The 16,851-nt window shown below is 47.2% G+C and overlaps 1 protein-coding gene across 1 annotated transcript, besides 4 other annotated features; it reads left to right on the plus strand.

The window, feature by feature from the left end:
- Nucleotides 4,978–5,700: an enhancer, noted in NCBI's record as "H3K4me1 hESC enhancer chr5:180574489-180575211 (GRCh37/hg19 assembly coordinates)". NCBI's record gives its function as "activates a minimal SCP1, AML or CMV promoter by ChIP-STARR-seq in naive H9 embryonic stem cells {active_cell/tissue: H9 hESC(naive)}" and the evidence as "EXISTENCE:reporter gene assay evidence [ECO:0000049][PMID:30033119]".
- OR2V2 (olfactory receptor family 2 subfamily V member 2) lies at nt 5,075–16,774 on the plus strand. Its single transcript, NM_206880.2, has 2 exons — nt 5,075–5,484; nt 12,408–16,774. The coding sequence occupies exon 2, from the start codon at nt 12,432–12,434 to the stop codon at nt 13,377–13,379; it is 948 nt and encodes a 315-aa protein (NP_996763.1). The 5' UTR covers nt 5,075–5,484; nt 12,408–12,431; the 3' UTR covers nt 13,380–16,774.
- Nucleotides 8,442–8,943: an enhancer, noted in NCBI's record as "H3K4me1 hESC enhancer chr5:180577953-180578454 (GRCh37/hg19 assembly coordinates)". NCBI's record gives its function as "activates a minimal SCP1, AML or CMV promoter by ChIP-STARR-seq in naive H9 embryonic stem cells {active_cell/tissue: H9 hESC(naive)}" and the evidence as "EXISTENCE:reporter gene assay evidence [ECO:0000049][PMID:30033119]".
- Nucleotides 11,596–11,645: an enhancer, noted in NCBI's record as "active region_23775". NCBI's record gives its function as "activates an Ori minimal core promoter by ATAC-STARR-seq in GM12878 lymphoblastoid cells {active_cell/tissue: GM12878}" and the evidence as "EXISTENCE:reporter gene assay evidence [ECO:0000049][PMID:35858748]".
- Nucleotides 14,307–14,426: an enhancer, noted in NCBI's record as "active region_23776". NCBI's record gives its function as "activates an Ori minimal core promoter by ATAC-STARR-seq in GM12878 lymphoblastoid cells {active_cell/tissue: GM12878}" and the evidence as "EXISTENCE:reporter gene assay evidence [ECO:0000049][PMID:35858748]".

The raw sequence follows: 16,851 nt of genomic DNA on the forward strand, positions 1-16,851 counted from the left end.
CCCAGTAGCTTTGAATGGCAGGTGAAACACGCTTTATTGCTGTTGTGAAAATAAAAGGAAACCAGTAAAATAAAACCAAACAGTTAAAAGGAACTGATGAGTTGGTGATTCCGCCATTGAGTTTCCAATGAATTTGCCATTTTGAAAAGAGATCTATTTCCAGGAGACATAAAGCCAAGCACAGAGTGACCTTTACGGTCACTCTTGAGAGTGAAAGGCAGTGCAGCCTGTGCCTGCACGGGTGGCAGCATCGGAACCGTGCACCTCAGCCCTCTCCCCAGCAACCCACGAAGGCACTGGCCCTGCAGAAATGCCTGTCAGGGTTTGTGATGACCGAGGCCCACATGCCTCCACCCGACTCCTCTGGATGTGGTGCTGTTCTTTCCCTCCCATGAGGTATGAGATGGAGACCCCATGAGGGCGCTGGGGCTCACTGGGAAGTGCTGAATGTGGGGATCCTGTAGAACACCAAGAATATCCTCTGCATTCCTGTGTGAAAGGAAAATAAATCCTGGGGCCCTAAGATCACTAAGCTAAACGGAAAAGTCAAGCTAGGAACTGCTTAGGGCAAACCTGCCTCCCATTCTATTCAAAGTCAGCCCTCTGATGCATCTTCTGAGTGCCTCCTTTGGAGAGGCTCATCAGGAACTCAAAAAAATGCAACCATTTTTCTCTTATTTACCCATGAGCTGGAAGCCCCCTCCCCACTTCGAGTTGTCCTGCCTTTGCTTTGAGTTGCCCTGCCTCTCCAGACCAAGCCAATGTTCATTTTTTACATATGCTGATTGACGTCTCATGTCTTCTAAAATGCATAAAATCAAACTGTGCCCTGACCACCTTGGCCACTTCTCAGGACCTCCTGAGGCTGTATCACGGGTGCACGTCCTGAATCTTGGCAAAATAAACTTTCTAAATTAACCAAGATTGTCTCAGATATTTGGGGTTCACGTTTTGGTAACCACAGGGGGATTCTGAGTGGAGATGCCCCTGACCTTTGACAGATCTCCTATCGGTGCTTGGGACCAGCATGAGCCAACTTTATGGCTCAAACCAATAGGACAACTTGCTGAGGTCTGAGAGTACCTCCTCCAGAGAATCCCTGATCTCCCAAAATCTAAAGTTTTTTTCCTGATCTAAAGGTCAAGATCTAAAGTTTATTTTCCTGAACAACTCCCCTTTTTTGGAATTTCACTTGCTTCCAACAAGGAAGGCAAGATCTCCTGCTTCCCTGAAGATGGAAGGCACGTAACTCCTTTATGGAGTTTGAGCTCACTCCCAGAAGGGAAGATGAGTTCCAGTTGTTTTTCCTGCTTCTAGGATGGTAGAAAGCAGTCTACAGCCTCAGACCCATCCCTAGGTAAGTAGCTGAATAGTTTTGTCTTGGCTAATGTTTAATGACCAGCTGGTCTGAATTTCTTCTTCCCATTACAGCACTGAGTGATCTTATTGTTGGGATTTGTTGTTGTTGTTGTTTGTTCTGGTCTTTCTCCCATCAGATTTGACCAACTCTACCTGACTTCATCAAATCCGAGTGAGAATTCCAAATTATGGTTGGTAACAAAGCCTCTCTAATTAGGCTAAAACTCCTTGCAGCTGCAAAAGAGGAAAAAGCAAAGCAAAAACAAAACAAAACAAAACAAAACACAAATGAGCTTGGTTTCTGTGTTTGCTTTCCGTCTTAAAAAAATAAATGTTCTTGGCTGGGTGCAGTGGCTCACGCCTGTAATCCCAGCACTTTGGGAGGCTGAGGTGGGCGGATCACAAGGTCAGGAGTTCGAGACCAGCTTGACCAACATGATGAAACTACGTCTCTACTAAAAGTACAAAAATTGGCCAGGCGTGGTGATGCGCACCTGTAATCCCAGCTACTCAGGAGGCTGAGGCAGGAGAATCACTTGAACCAGGGAGGCGGAGGTTGCAGTGAGCTGAGATCGTGCTACTGCACTCCAGCCTGGGTGACAGAGTGAGACTCCATCTCAAAAAAAATAAAAAATAAAAAATAGAAATAAACAGAAATAAAATAAATGTTCTTTAATTTACTTTTCTTCACCCTATACCTCCTACCCCCTTTGCCTTCTGCAGTACCAAAAAATCTAAAGAAGGCTTCTCATGACTTGAACCCCTTTAAAGGATGCAGAGCAAAGGCACCGCTCACCCCTTTTGGGGTGTTCTGTTTACTTTGTGGAGTTTCAAGAGCCTCTCCTGGGAAGTTGTTGCTTAAGGATCCTATTTTAAATGACCTGTGATATCAAGTGTTTTAAACCTTTGATAGTTGACAAACTTTTCTAAATTAAATTATTAATTATGTATATTTGTGACCTAAGTAATCCTCTAATGTATTAGGTTCCCTAAGTCCAAAGATGACATTATTTGGCTTATTTGGTATAAAAATTATACAAGAAGCATTATCAAATATGAAATGGTGTTTGGTTTTCTTTGGGCTGTATTTGTATAAATATGTTATTAGTATGTGTTCCAAAATTATGGGAAACTCCTATAATTATGATATGACTTGGTGTGCATTATCAGTAATAGTTACAATTGTTATGTTAACGTGCCACAGAGGTAATAAATTTCCATGTCGATTGTGTCTTTGACTATGACTGCTCTGAAACTTTTTGTCATCCACAGACAACTCTTGTCTTGTTTTGATCCTCTCTAGAAGGTGGTTTTATAATCAGCTATAAAACTCTAACAGGTGCTCTTAAATGCAGGTGTCTGATAACTTTGGGAGTGTGACATCAGAATAGAGGGAAAACTTTCAGGACTCATGGAGGGCTGAGATGAATATCAAGCAGAACCAGAATTAACTGCATGGACTGAACTAATAAGAGACTGAAGTAATCTTTCTGACTTTTTGCTTAAAACGTTGCTGATCCTTTGTTTGGTTTTTTTCAGAATCAAGGAAACTTTTCTTTTGAGCTGTTGGCAGCTTTTAACAAGTTAGTATACTCCTATAAATAAAATTTGGAGCATGTTTGTTTCTCTCTACCTGAATTCTCCAGAATTTGGAAACTATTTGTGAGTATTATTAACTTATGTCAATACAGTTATTTGCATACATGTAGTAAGATCCTGTTTTCATTTGTAACAGGATGCAATTGAAGAAACTGGTTATTTTCCCAAAGGTTTGACTGGAATGGTGTGTTTTCCTTTAAGGAATCAAACTTGACTTATAGAGCCAATAAAAGCCTTCTGGGAAAACCGCCCTCATACCTTGTCTACACAGTCCCTGTACAGGGTTCCTGATCTGTGGTAAGTAAAGAATGTCACTTTCTGACATTCCCAGGAGCCCCAAGTTTTATCTTGGGACCTCAAGAGGAGAGGAATTCACCCAACTCATAGGTATTTGATGATACAAATCTATGACTGGGCTTGGCTTTAAAAAGTCTTATCTGAGATTCCTTCTATGGAACAAAGTTCCATCAAAGTCAATTTATAAACCTATGTAAAACATAATTATTCAGGCCAAGCACAGTGAGTCAAGCCTATAATTCCAGCACTTTGGGAGGCCAAGGTGGATGATCACTTCAGGTCAGGAGTTTGAGACCAGCCTGGCCAACATGGTGAAATCTCGTCTCTACTAAAAATACAAAAATTAGCCAGGTATGTGGCACACACCTGTAATCCCAGCTACTCAGGAGGCTGAAGCAGGAGAATCGCTTGAACCCGGGAGGCGGAGGTTGCAGTGAGCCAAAAGCATGCCACTTCACTCCAGCCTGGGCAACAGAGTGAGACTCTGTCTCAAAAGTAATAATAAAATTATTATTATTATTATTATTATTATTATTATTATTATTGCTATGCTGTATACAAATAATCCGGCCAAGTATATTAAAGCAAATCAATCCTGCCACGATTTGTCTTTAGTAAAAATGGGAAACTGGGGAGAAAACAAATTACGTTTCAAAAACTATAGTACACTCGTTAGCTTCCAGTCATGTCTAATGTTTTTCAATTTTTATTATTCTCTACAGTTTGGAATGAATTTTAATTTTTCTTGGCTACAAGTTTTCAAAATAATGTTTTCTATTTTTTTTTCTTTTTTGTCTCATTTTTCCTAATTTGGAGTCACTGAAAACTAAGCTGTGCCTTCATAAAGCCCTGCAAACTGAAGCCAGACAACGTAAACTTCAGAAGAAAATAACAGCAACTTATTTACATACATAAACCACTCTCATACCTGCCTACTGATGTATGGACTTCAGGGTAATGTGGCCTATATTAATTTTCCAGGGCTATTCTTTCATTTCTTGTTGTTTTCCCCCCTTCCTCCCCCTATTTTCTCTTCATAGAACATGAGACTTCACAACCTGCTCAAAATGAGCTTTCCTAATAACTCAGGACCTACCTATCTAAGAATAAACCATCCCAGCCATGAGAGATAAGACAAAACCTGAGACCAGAGACTCGTTTTCTTCTAAAATGCTTTCTCCTGGGGCCCTAAAATCACAAAGCTAAAGGGAAAAGTCAAGCTGAGAACTGCTTAGGGCAAACCAGCCTCCCATTCTATTCAAAGTCGCCCCTCTGCTCACTGAGATAAATGCATATATGGTTGCCTCCTTTGGAGAGGCTCATCAGAATCTCAAAAGCATGCAGCCATTTGTCTCTTATCTACCTGTGACCTGGAAGCTGCGTCCTCACTTAGAGTCGTCCAGCCTTTCCAGACCAAACAGATGTTCATCTTACAAATGTTGATTGAGGGCTCATGTCCCCCTAAAATGCATAAAACCAGACTGTGTTCTGACCACCTTGGGCACATGTTGTCAGGACCTCCTGAGGCTGTGTCATGGGTGCATGTCTTCAATCTTCGCAAAATAAACTTTCTAAATTAACTGAGACCTGTCTCAGATATTCAGGTTTCAGGCATGTATTCCTGTGCCCTGCATCCTTCCTCCCCCAGCTGGGTTTCCTCACGCTGTCCCCACTGGCCCTGCTCCTGTTCCTGTCCCCAGGTCCCTCTGTGGGTCTTTTTAATTGTAATCTTGGGAGCACCTCTTCCAGGGCTGGAGTCTGTGGGGTCCCCTGGGAGCTGAGGTCTGAAGTCAGCTTCCCCTCCTCACCCCGTGTCTGGGTTCAGTACCTATGTGGGCAGTGGGAGGCGGTTCTGGAACCTGGCCAGAGCCAGGGTGTCCTGGAGGCAGGTGGGAATCCTGGGTGGGCTCAGGGCACTGCTCCTGGCTCCACCTCTCCTGCCAGCACCAGCTCCTTCCCTGAGCCTGTTTCTCCCTCTGAGAGGAGGCTGTGGTCTGTGTGAGCCTCGCTCTCTGAGCCTGAGGGGCCACTGGAGGCTGAGGGTGCCGTGGGCTCCACAGCCCGATGAGTAGTCGGTGCGGGCTGAGGAAGGAGGTTGGGGCTGCGGCTCCTCCTGTCCCCTGACCCAGTGGGAGCAAAAACAGGAGGATGAGTGCATGGCTCTGATGCTAGGAACTCCTCCACAGGTGACTCTGCTGAGTTTGTTCCCCTGCAGGGACCCACCCACAGGTGAGTGAGGGTCTTGTCCTGTCGTCCCCTCTCTCTTCCCTGCAGCTCCTGCTCCCGTTGCTGGTTCACGTCCCCATTTGTCTTGTTCATCAGCACTTGTTCTTCCTCCTACTGTCTGCCTCCATCAGGGTGTAATTGTTTGGATTTTTGGGGGGGCATCCGCCTTCTGGTGTGATGTCTCTCCTCACTCTTCTCGTCTTGTTCCTTTGACCCACTTCCCTCTCTCGATCCTTGGTGTCTTACTCCCCTTTTCCTGTCCCCCTCCCTCTGTCTGGGTTGGAGACTGGGCTCTAGGTCCCTGGGGTGGAGAGTGGTCCACCGCAGGAAGACAAGGATGGATGTGTGGGGAGTGCGAAGGTGAAGGGATAGGAAGGAGGGGGCTGATGTGGGACGGGGTCCTCTCATCCCCAGGAGAATATTGCAGAGACAGTTTCTTCTTCCATGTTGTGGTTTCTAGGAAAAAAAGTAAAGCCATTAGCTAAACACCCAGCAGAAAGGTCTGAAGTTAGAGAGCAGGAAAATGAGCCAGTGAGATGCAAGAATAAATTCAGTTGTATTTCATAAAACAATCATTATTCATTAATCACGTGGTTACTGAGAGCACAATAGATGCCAGGCACTGGTCCAGGAGCCAGGGATCCCCCCACGAGCACCAGACGTGCCGGGGAACATGGGTCCTAGTTGGGAAAGCAGGAGAAAGTGTCTTCGTGGAGAGCATGGAGCCCGCCTCCTGGCTTTGTGTGCTGTGGGAGCCAAGATGGGAAGGGGAGGGAGGAGGAAGGATTTCAACTCTAAATGGGTGCTGAAGGGAGGCCTTGCCAAGAAGGCGAGGAGGAGGTGAGGGAACAAGGCAGGGCCTGTCTGGGAAGAGCCTTCTGCACGGAGGTGAGGGCAAGGACCGAGGCCCTTGGATTGGCCTTGGCCTTGTCCTGCTGTGTGAGGGAATCCCGCAGGGAGGCCAGGGATCCAGGAGTCCACAGAGCTCTGGGGAGAGCAGAAGGAAAGGAGGTCTGGGTGATGACGGATGGCCTGCGGATGAGGTCTTGCATTTCCTCTGGAAGTTGTTTGGCTTTATTTTTGCAGGGGTGGGTCCACCCCAGTGCTATGTGACAGTAGCCTGGGGTGGGGGACTAGAGAGGACTTAGGAGGCAAGTCCACTTGGGGATCAATGCCATCCTCCAGGGAGGCTGCAAAGATCATGTGGCCAGGCGGGGGCTGGCAGGGGTGAGTGAGGGTCAGGGGTGGATATGTGGGGTGGATATGTTTTGGAAGAAGAGCCAGCAGGGGTTTCCAATGGTTGGGATGTGTGTGTGAGAGGAGAGGACTCCAGAATAACCTGAGTGCTGTGACCTGGGCAGCTGGACAGACCTGTCTTCAACCAAGCTGGGAAGGAGGACAGGACAAGTGTTTCTCCAGGGCAGACCAACAGCTCTGTTTGGCCACTTCAGGCAGAACAGCCCCACTGGCCATCTGGGGGGATGCTGAGTACACAGCGGGTGTAAGAATCTGAGTTCAAAGAAGCCATCCCGGATAGGGAGACAAATGTCTTTAGTGACTCACATAGCATTGCACAAGTTACCTCTGCAGAACCTGTCCTGGAAGCCCCACAGAACCTCCCTCGTCAGAGGCTCACAGGTATACCACAATTATCTTCCTTCCGCGGAGGACACAGCTATGTCTGCAGGGTCACAGAGAGATGGACACGGCCCACAGTAACTGGCAGCAGGGCTGGGTCTTGGGCCCATGGCTTCAGATGCCCTTTCCAGTTTTCTGTCTATTTTCAGTTTTTGCAAAGAAATAGAGAGAGTCACTTGTTACGTAAATGTGCTATAAGCATTTCTGAAGAAACATGGAAATGTAAACACGGAGTGAAAGGAAGAGAGAGATGGACAGAGAAAGAGAGAGAGAATCAGAAATAGAGACAATGCATGTCTTTGAAGGTGCAGGTGGCCTGTGCCTCTGAACACGGTAGTAGGGCTGGGCATGTGCAGACAGGAAGGGGAACTTCTGCTGTGAATTTCTGGGGGACCTGGTTTGTTTTGCTGGTTGGTTGGGCCTCGGGCCCCTATGACCAAGATGGTGTTTGAAGACTGTGAGAACAGCAGTTTGCTTCTATAGAAAACCCCCACCACATCATACGTAGGTGTTGTTGCTGGCAAGGACCCCTGGGCACATCTTCTAGGGCACAAGTCAGGACGTGCTCCGCTCTGTGGAACACAGCTCAAGTGGCTAAATCCAAGGCTCTGCACCTGGGCAGGCGCATAAGAGTTGAGGACATTACTCCAGCTCTTTGCACAAAGAACATGTCCTGTGGAATGGCCTCATTTTGTCTTTGCAGCGAGAAAAGTACCTGAATACACCTGCATGCAACTGTCTGGTATTTGAGCCTCTCACCCTTGTCTTTTGTAAACTGAAGACATGCGCTGGCAGTCACAGTTCTGCATGGGAAGGAAGCTAGCACTGGCCTCTGCTACGCTCAGGTCAGGAGAAAGCTCCCCTCAGTAAAGGGGAAATCCTCTGCTTTCGGAACATGGAAACTGCAGCTGCATTTCACTTCATGGTATTGTTTTACTCAGCACGCAACTGAGTATCACAGTGGGACCATCTTAGAGACAGAGCAGAGAGCAAACCAGACCAGGAGCTGCTGTTCTCAGGACACTCAGCCAGTGGAATAGAGCAGATGATTCAGAACCCACAGGGCCAGGTGCAGTGGCTCACGCCTGGAATCCCAGCACTTTGGGAGGCCGAGGTGGGAGGATTGCTTGAGATCAGGAGTTCAAGACCAGCCTGGGAAACATAAGGAGACCCCCATCGCCACAAAAAATTAAAAAATTAGCCGAGCACGATGGTGCGCACTTGTGGTCCCAGCTACTCGGGCAGCTGAGGTGGGAGGATTACTTGAGCCCAGGAGGTGCGACTTACAGTGAGAGCCTTGACTGCACCACCGCACCCCACCCTGGACCACCCTGTCTCGACAACAGGAAAAAAGCCCCACAGATAAGTAAGCATGCAGAGTATCAGGCAGTGATGAGAGCTGTGGAGTGAAAGCAAGCAGGGAAGGAGGGCAGCCTGGGGCGCTTTGCAGCAAAGTTCTCAATGAGCAGAAGACACGTGGGGGAGACCTGAAGGAGGGTGTAGACAAGTGGGGAAGATGCTCCGTGCAGAGGGAGCAGGAAAGGCCCTAAGGTCAGATGCATCTGGCGTGCTCCAGGAAGAAAATAATAATAAAAGGGCCTGGCAGATGAGACATCCAGAGTCAGGGGTGAGGGCAGACAGCTGCGGGAGGGGAAGTGGGGGGATCCTGGAAGGGCGTTGGCCCTTGCTGGGAGTGTGTTGGGAGCCAGTGGCATATCCTGAGCACAAGACTGACACCATCTGGCTTAAGTTGCAGGCGATGCCTTCGCCCTCAGTCTGCTGGGTGAAGCCAGGGACCAATCAGGAGGCTGTACTGACCCCAGCTGCAGCCCTCAGCAGCACATGCATTGTGCCAAAGAGGTGCCACGTGCATGGGAAGGGATCGTCTGGTGGGGTCAGGTGGGGGCCCTTCGTGGCAAAAGTGGACTTGAGCTGAGCCCTTAAGGACATCAGCATTAATAAGATGAGAGGAGGGGACATGACTTTTGTAGGGCGCGCAGCTGAAAAATACTGCTTGGTTGTTTTCTGTCTGAGGTGTCAGCAAGACACGCAGCTGTATATGTTCTGTAGGAAATTTGCAGTTGAAGCTGGGGCTGGGAGGGGCGTCTGGGATCCCATGACGGCTTTGGCATTACCGGGAGGCTGACGCGGAAAGATCAGCTGATGCAAGGCGTTCAAAACCCTGTCTCTATGAAAAATAAAAAATTAGCTAGGTGTGGTGGTGTGCGCCTGTAGTACCAGCCACTCAGGAGGCTGAGTGAGGAGGATCTCTTGAGTCAAAGAGCTCAAGACTGCGGTGAGCTGATCATGCCACTGTGCTCCAGTCTGGGAGACAGAGCGAGGCCCTGTCTCAAAAAAAAAAAAAAAAAAATCAAAGGCTTTGGGTTTATCCGTCTATCTCCGATCTGCTGAGAAGAGGCGGGGCTCTAGTGACAGGCAGCACACACTCAGAAAAATCACATTCAGTGTCCCAGCCACAGTACTCACATCCATTTTCCTTTTGGCCTCATAGTGATCCTGCAATAAAGGTACAGTGGTTATTAAAATGGACCCCCTTACAAAGGAGGAAACGGAGGCTCTGAGAAGCTGGCTGCACAGCCCATGTTTAGTAAACGCAGAACCAAGATTGACAAAGAGTCTTTGAATGTCCGTTCTGGAAACTTAACTTTAGATCAGGCTGTTCCTGGGGAAAATATCCTGAGGGGGTAAGCCGCCTTATCTTGTAAAATTTCTCAGTTAGGAGCTTCCAGTTCCTTTTTCTCTGACTCTTGGCTCACCAAACAGCCTTCTTGTCTGAACTCTGAACAACTGGAGATGCTTTTGCTGAAGAGTGGCATTGGTGTCCTGTGAGATGCAGCTCTCGTTACAGGTGGACGCACACTCTCCTGTGGTTAGTAAGTTCCTGACTTGTGAGTTGGTTAGTGTAAACACAATTCCCCAACCCTAGAGGAAAATCAGCATTGCATTTCCGGACATGCTGAATTCCAGGGACAACCTCGGTGATGATTAGTGACTCACGTCTAAAAACAGAATACGCAGAGCTGAAGGGATGTGACTTCTGATGTGAGGTCACAAAATACCCCACTCCTCTCTAGGGCGATTTCCTTCCACTCTCTGGAGGATCACTTGCCCTGGCAGGAGGCAATGGCCACGTGGTGAGGCACCTGCGAGGAGGGAACAAGGTGCCAACAGCTGAACCAGAGCCTCAGGAGAGGCCTCAGGCCGGAGGCACCCAGATGAGCTTCACTGGATCCCTGGCCCACAGGAACCATGAGATAACAAATATGTGTTATTCTGTTTTAAGCTGCTCAGTGTTGGAGCTATTTGTTACAAAGCAGTAGGAAACTCATACAAAGTTAAGGGAGGAAAAGCGGGGAAGCACTGCAGTGCTGCGCTACTTACAGTGATGGTGCCTGACGGTGCAGGCCCGGATGGCTAAAGGGACAAACAAATCGGAAGGAGGCAAATGAGAAATAGAACATGAAAAGGCCTAAGGAAAACTGGGAACTCCTTGGAGGGCGAAGACAAGGCTCAGCCGGGTGAGAGCGTGACGCCAGTGATAACAGACTCAGAGTCGGAATACGGTGATGTTTTCCGCTTGTTGTTTATAATGATCTGTTCTGTTATTTGCCTTGGCTTCAGATATTCTACCGTCAAGGATGCTTTGTCTTTTTTAATATACATGATGTGATTTCCTGACTTGGCTTTGTCCGTGTAAAATCATATCATGTCTCTGGTGCCTCTCGATACTAAGGTGTTTAGGACAAATTGTTTGGCAGGACATGGTGGCTCACACCTGTAATCCCAGCACTTTGGGAGGCCACGTCAGGCGGATCGCTTGGGCTCAGGAGCTCGAGACCAGCTCGGGCAAGATGGCAACACCCCATCTCTAATAAAAACAGAAAAAAAAAGTTAGCCTGGCATGGTGGCAGGCACCTATGGGAGGCTGAGGTGACAGGATGGCTTGATCCCAGGAGGCGGAGGTTGCAATGAGCCGAGATCACACCACTGCACCCCAGCCTGGGTGACAGAGGGAGACCCTGTCTCAAAAACACAAAAACACAAAATAATTCTTGGCTAAATATCAAGGGAAACCCCTCTTTATTAGCAGGCTCCAAATAAATCCATTGAAACTTTGATGAAGCAGTGAGGAAATGACTCAGAAATCCCAGTGAAGTATATCAGTTACAAGGATCTCATAAAGAAGGCACTTTGATTTCTACTAAAGATAACTTAGGAAGCAGGTATTACCTATACTGATGTGCCAGCCTCTTCTACTGAAGCCCTGACTAAGGGATTATTTTCTAAGCCCCAGCATAACTGAAACCTCACTGTTCTTAAGACTCTTGGGCACCAAGTCATTGCTTCACCTCATTGGCCCTGTGACTTCCTGTCACTCGCGGTATGACTGACAATGACACCGTCCATCGCAACTCTTCCTTTCTCACGTGGGGCACAACAGGAGAACATCCTTTCCCTGTAGTCTGAACATAATAGAGTGGTAAGCATGAGAAAACTCTCAGAACATAGAGAGAGACTCCAGACTGAGGAGCAACTCCTGTTTCTTCCCTTCCTTTCTACAGCACACATGAATTATCTCCTGGGAATGAAATGGTCCCGGCCCCGTTAAACATTGTTTCCCAAGTCCATGTGATCCCAGGTAAAAGATTCGGTATCGGCCGGGCGCGGTGGCTCACACCTGTAATCCCAGCACTTTGGGAGGCCGAGGCGGGTGGATCACAAGGTCAGGAGATCGAGAGCATCCTGCCTAACACGGTGAAACCCCGTCTCTACTAAAAATACAAAAAAATTAGCTGGGCGTGGTGGCGGGCGCCTGTAGTCCCAGCTACTCGGGAGGCTGAGGCAGGAGAATGGCGTGAACCCTGGAGGGGGAGGTTGCAGTGAGCAGAGATCTCGCCACTGCACTCCAGCCTGGGCGACTGAGCAAGACTCCATCTCAAAAAAAAAAAAAAAAGACTCTGTATCATATGGTACAGCCAAGACTTTGCCTGCTGAAGGGGGTTGTCCGAAGGTCTCTGACACATGAAACAACTCAGTTCTTCTCTTTGTGGTAAGGATACATACAGCACATAAACACAGTCCAATTCTAGGAGCCAGGAGGGCCCCCACCGCTGTGTTAGGGAGATATGGAGTGTCCCCTATTATGTCCCAAAGCTTCAGTTGTTGAGATCTAATGAGTTGCACACAACACAGCTGACTGAAGACATAGCAGCAGAGGTCTATAAAGAGATGTCAGTCAATGTAACACATCTTGTCCATATTCTCAGGTGACCAGGAGCAACAACCGAGCCATGGAGACGTGGGTGAACCAGTCCTACACAGATGGCTTCTTCCTCTTAGGCATCTTCTCCCACAGTACTGCTGACCTTGTCCTCTTCTCCGTGGTTATGGCGGTCTTCACAGTGGCCCTCTGTGGGAATGTCCTCCTCATCTTCCTCATCTACATGGACCCTCACCTTCACACCCCCATGTACTTCTTCCTCAGCCAGCTCTCCCTCATGGACCTCATGTTGGTCTGTACCAATGTGCCAAAGATGGCAGCCAACTTCCTGTCTGGCAGGAAGTCCATCTCCTTTGTGGGCTGTGGCATACAAATTGGCCTCTTTGTCTGTCTTGTGGGATCTGAGGGGCTCTTGCTGGGACTCATGGCTTATGACCGCTATGTGGCCATTAGCCACCCACTTCACTATCCCATCCTCATGAATCAGAGGGTCTGTCTCCAGATTACTGGGAGCTCCTGGGCCTTTGGGATAATCGATGGCTTGATCCAGATGGTGGTAGTAATGAATTTCCCCTACTGTGGCTTGAGGAAGGTGAACCATTTCTTCTGTGAGATGCTATCCTTGTTGAAGCTGGCCTGTGTAGACACATCCCTGTTTGAGAAGGTGATATTTGCTTGCTGTGTCTTCATGCTTCTCTTCCCATTCTCCATCATCGTGGCCTCCTATGCTCACATTCTAGGGACTGTGCTGCAAATGCACTCTGCTCAGGCCTGGAAAAAGGCCCTGGCCACCTGCTCCTCCCACCTGACAGCTGTCACCCTCTTCTATGGGGCAGCCATGTTCATCTACCTGAGGCCTAGGCACTACCGGGCCCCCAGCCATGACAAGGTGGCCTCTATCTTCTACACGGTCCTTACTCCCATGCTCAACCCCCTCATTTACAGCTTGAGGAACAGGGAGGTGATGGGGGCACTGAGGAAGGGGCTGGACCGCTGCAGGATCGGCAGCCAGCACTGAACCCAGGGCATCCAGTGCCTGGCTCTGCCATCTCTTAGCTCCAGGGATGTCGGGTTAATAATTCTCTCATTTTCAGTCTTGGTTTCCTCGTGAATTATGATGATTGTGACACCCTCAGACTTGGAAGGTCTTTTTAAACACTACATCAGTTCTTTCTTTCTTTCTTTCTTTCTTTCTTTCTTTTGTTCTTTCTTTCGTTCTTTCTTTCTCTTCCTCTTTCTCTTTCTTTCTTTTTCTTTCAGTTCTTACTCTGTCACCCAGGCTAGAGTGCAGTGACACAATCTCGGCTTATAGCAGCCTTGATCTCCTGGGCTCAGGTGAGTCTCCAACTCAGCCTCCTGAGTAGCTGGGATTACAGGTGCGTGCCCCACACCTGACTAATTTTTTAGTAAGGGATCCACTATTGTTGTAGAGACAATGTTTTACTATGTTGCCCAGGCTGGTCTCGAACTCCTGGACTCAAGCAATCCACCTTCCAGAGTGCTGAGATTACAGGCGTGAGCCACCACGCACAGCCAACATCAGTACTTTTTATCTGATGAAGAAACAACTTTTCCTCCCAATCTTTTGTGTACTAATTATTTTACACTATACATTGAAAATGAATATAGGACATTGTAAATCAGCACTGTGCAGAAATAAGACATTGGGATTGCTGTCACTCATTATTTAAAATTGGAATTACTTCTACTAGAAGAAGACGTTGAGCTGAGCCTCCTAACTCTCCTTGCTAATGTTTTATTCTGTGCTTACTCTGTGGGAGACTTCGCTCTGTGATCTATGTGTAGACGTAGATCCCACCTGCATGATGTTTATATGATGTCTCACAACAGTTGTAGCCCAACCCTAGGGTCTTAAATGAACAACTTACAGATGACAGAAAATAAGCCTTTATAGTTCTCTTTAGAGAATGTCTACTCCTCACACTGGAAACTTCATAAAGACGTATTAAAAGCATACAAGTTGTCTTTGAGATAATGAGGGACAGGGTAGAGACATGCTTGCTTGTGTATTCAGTGGAAATCCCCCAAGCCTGCTGTCTCCTCACCACGTCCTAGCAGTGTGTGCTGCTCTGTGTCAGCTCAGCTTCTGTAAGGAGAAAACTGGCTGAACTCCTTCCCCTTCGGGGAATGAAGACTGGAGCATGGTGACAGAATTTCATCTGCTATTTGAAAACCTATTTTCAGAATTTCAGTGTGAACTATTTGCAGGACTTGTATCCATCCTTCCAAGCTCTGTACCTGTCCTATTTGCAGTAAAATTCTCTTTTCATGGAAAAAAAATATCTCCATTGAAGGCGGAGAGAAAAGAGGCCAGAACTGGTCCTGAGGATTAGACTAAACCCCAGGGAGGTGTTTGCTGGGCTTCAGGCTTTGGAGAGGTGGAGGGAAGTGGCACCCAGGGCCTACCGTGGTTGACTTTAGATTGTCCACTCAGCTTAATTCTCACAGGAAACATTCTGTGGTGAAAATATTATGCCCATTTTACAGGAGAGGAAGCTAGGGCTCAAATCGGTAAGTCCCTGCCTCATCGTCCAGTTTTCTTCTTCACCTCCCCATGGGAAAGACTGGTTTGTCAGCGCAGCTGAGATGAGCAAACAACTTCGGAGGAGGCTCCTTCCCTTGGGGGTTTAATTGCCTGAAAAGGTGTCTCCAAGGACTGGTGAAAATAGAAGTAACTTTCCTTAGTCACGGGGCTGCAAGATTTTCCACTGTGTAGATGGATCTTAGTGTATTCTGTGACCACTTGCTGATATCACTTAGGTAATGCCCAACCTACCAAATTAATTTAAGCTCTATAATATCAAATATCTTTCTGTGTATTCTCCTCATTTTCATCATATCTTTTTGCCTTGTACACATTTCTATTTGCCCCAAATTCTTCTCTTCCAGGAAGCATCCCTGATTAACCTCATGCCCACTCAGATTTCTCTGGGATTTTGCACCCTTCAACCCGTAAGTACCTTGAGTGTTTCAACCACAACTCTTTATCTATAGCCACTGAACCCCTAGACTGGAAGAAAATTTAGAGCAAACTTAATCCAGCCCCCTTCCGTGATGCAGAATTTTGGATCATAATCACCCAAGCAAAAGTTTCACCAGCCTTTACCTTATCTAGTCCCATGATGGGGAAATTCCTATTTCATTTTAATTGCATTTCATTGGCATAGGCTTGATGTCCTTAATTCATTTCCCGCACAAGGACCAGGGAATTCCATTGAAAATTATCTACTGAACGCCACTAGCACCCAGAAATGTGGTAAGTTCCATGTCACAAAAAGGTTCCACAGGGTCCTCTTATGTCCAGGCACACACTTCAGTTCACTAATCAATGCTCCTTATGAAACAAGAGTTGCATAACTAGTCTCAGTGTGAGCAACTGCAAACTTAGAGATGTGTAATTGTTAGAGATTTGTAAGAAAATAATATAGAGAGGAAATACATGTGGGGGGGGGGCAGGTGCGGTGGCTCACATCTGTAATCCAAGCACTTTGGGAGGCCAAGGCCAAGGTGGGAGGATTGCTTGAGCTCAGCAGTTGGAGACCAACCTGGGCAACATGGTGAAACCCCATCTCTACAAAAAGTACAAAAATCAGCCGGGCGTGGTTACTTGGGAGGCTGAGTTCCTTGGGAGGCTGAGGCGGAAGGATTGCTTGAGCTTAGGAGGCTGAGGCTGCAATGACCCATGATCATGCCACTGCACTCCAGCCTGGGCCACAGAGCAGAAGCCTGTCTCGAAAATAAATAAGTAAATAAATAAATAAACAAAAAATAAAAAGAAAACATGTGAAAGCACAGGAGAGTAAAAGAAGCAAGAATCTTGCCAGGGGACATGGGAGTTTTTGTTACTTGCTTCACTTTTGTGTATGCCTGACATTTTTTATAATTAACAGTTTAAAATGCTCAAGGCCAGTTTTTTTTTTGCCAACTACCTTACCAAATCCTTTCCCATCAAGTTGTCTGTTCATTTTATTGGGTGATTTTGGGGCATAGATGTGACAAATCTTCATTGCAATCAGTTAGGTCAATGTTTTGTGTGTGTGTGTGAATATAAAAAATTGCTTGAAGCCAGGCATGGTGGCTCATTCCTATAATCCCAGCTGATAATGGGGAGGCCAAGGTGGGAGGATCACTTGAGCCCGGGAGTCTGACGCTGCAGTGTCACTGCACCCCAGCCAGGGCAACTCAGAGAGATCCTATCTCTACAGATTAGAAATGTTCCATTTCAGCTGGACAGGGTTTCTCATGTCTGTAATCCCAGCACTTTGGGAAGCCAAGGCAGGAGGATCACTTGAGCCCAGGAGTTTGAGACCAGCCTGGGCAACATAGCGAAACCCCATCTCTAGAACAATTAAAAATAAAACATGAATTTTAAATTTAAAAATTGCTCTACACCTCCATTTGGAAAGACTGTGTATGTGTTTGTGTCACGTATGAAAGCTAAGCTGGCATCTCCATAACCACGGGGCTCA

The sequence above is a fragment of the Homo sapiens genome, chromosome 5, assembly GCF_000001405.40.
Source record: "Homo sapiens chromosome 5, GRCh38.p14 Primary Assembly".
Classification (NCBI taxonomy): domain Eukaryota; kingdom Metazoa; phylum Chordata; class Mammalia; order Primates; family Hominidae; genus Homo; species Homo sapiens.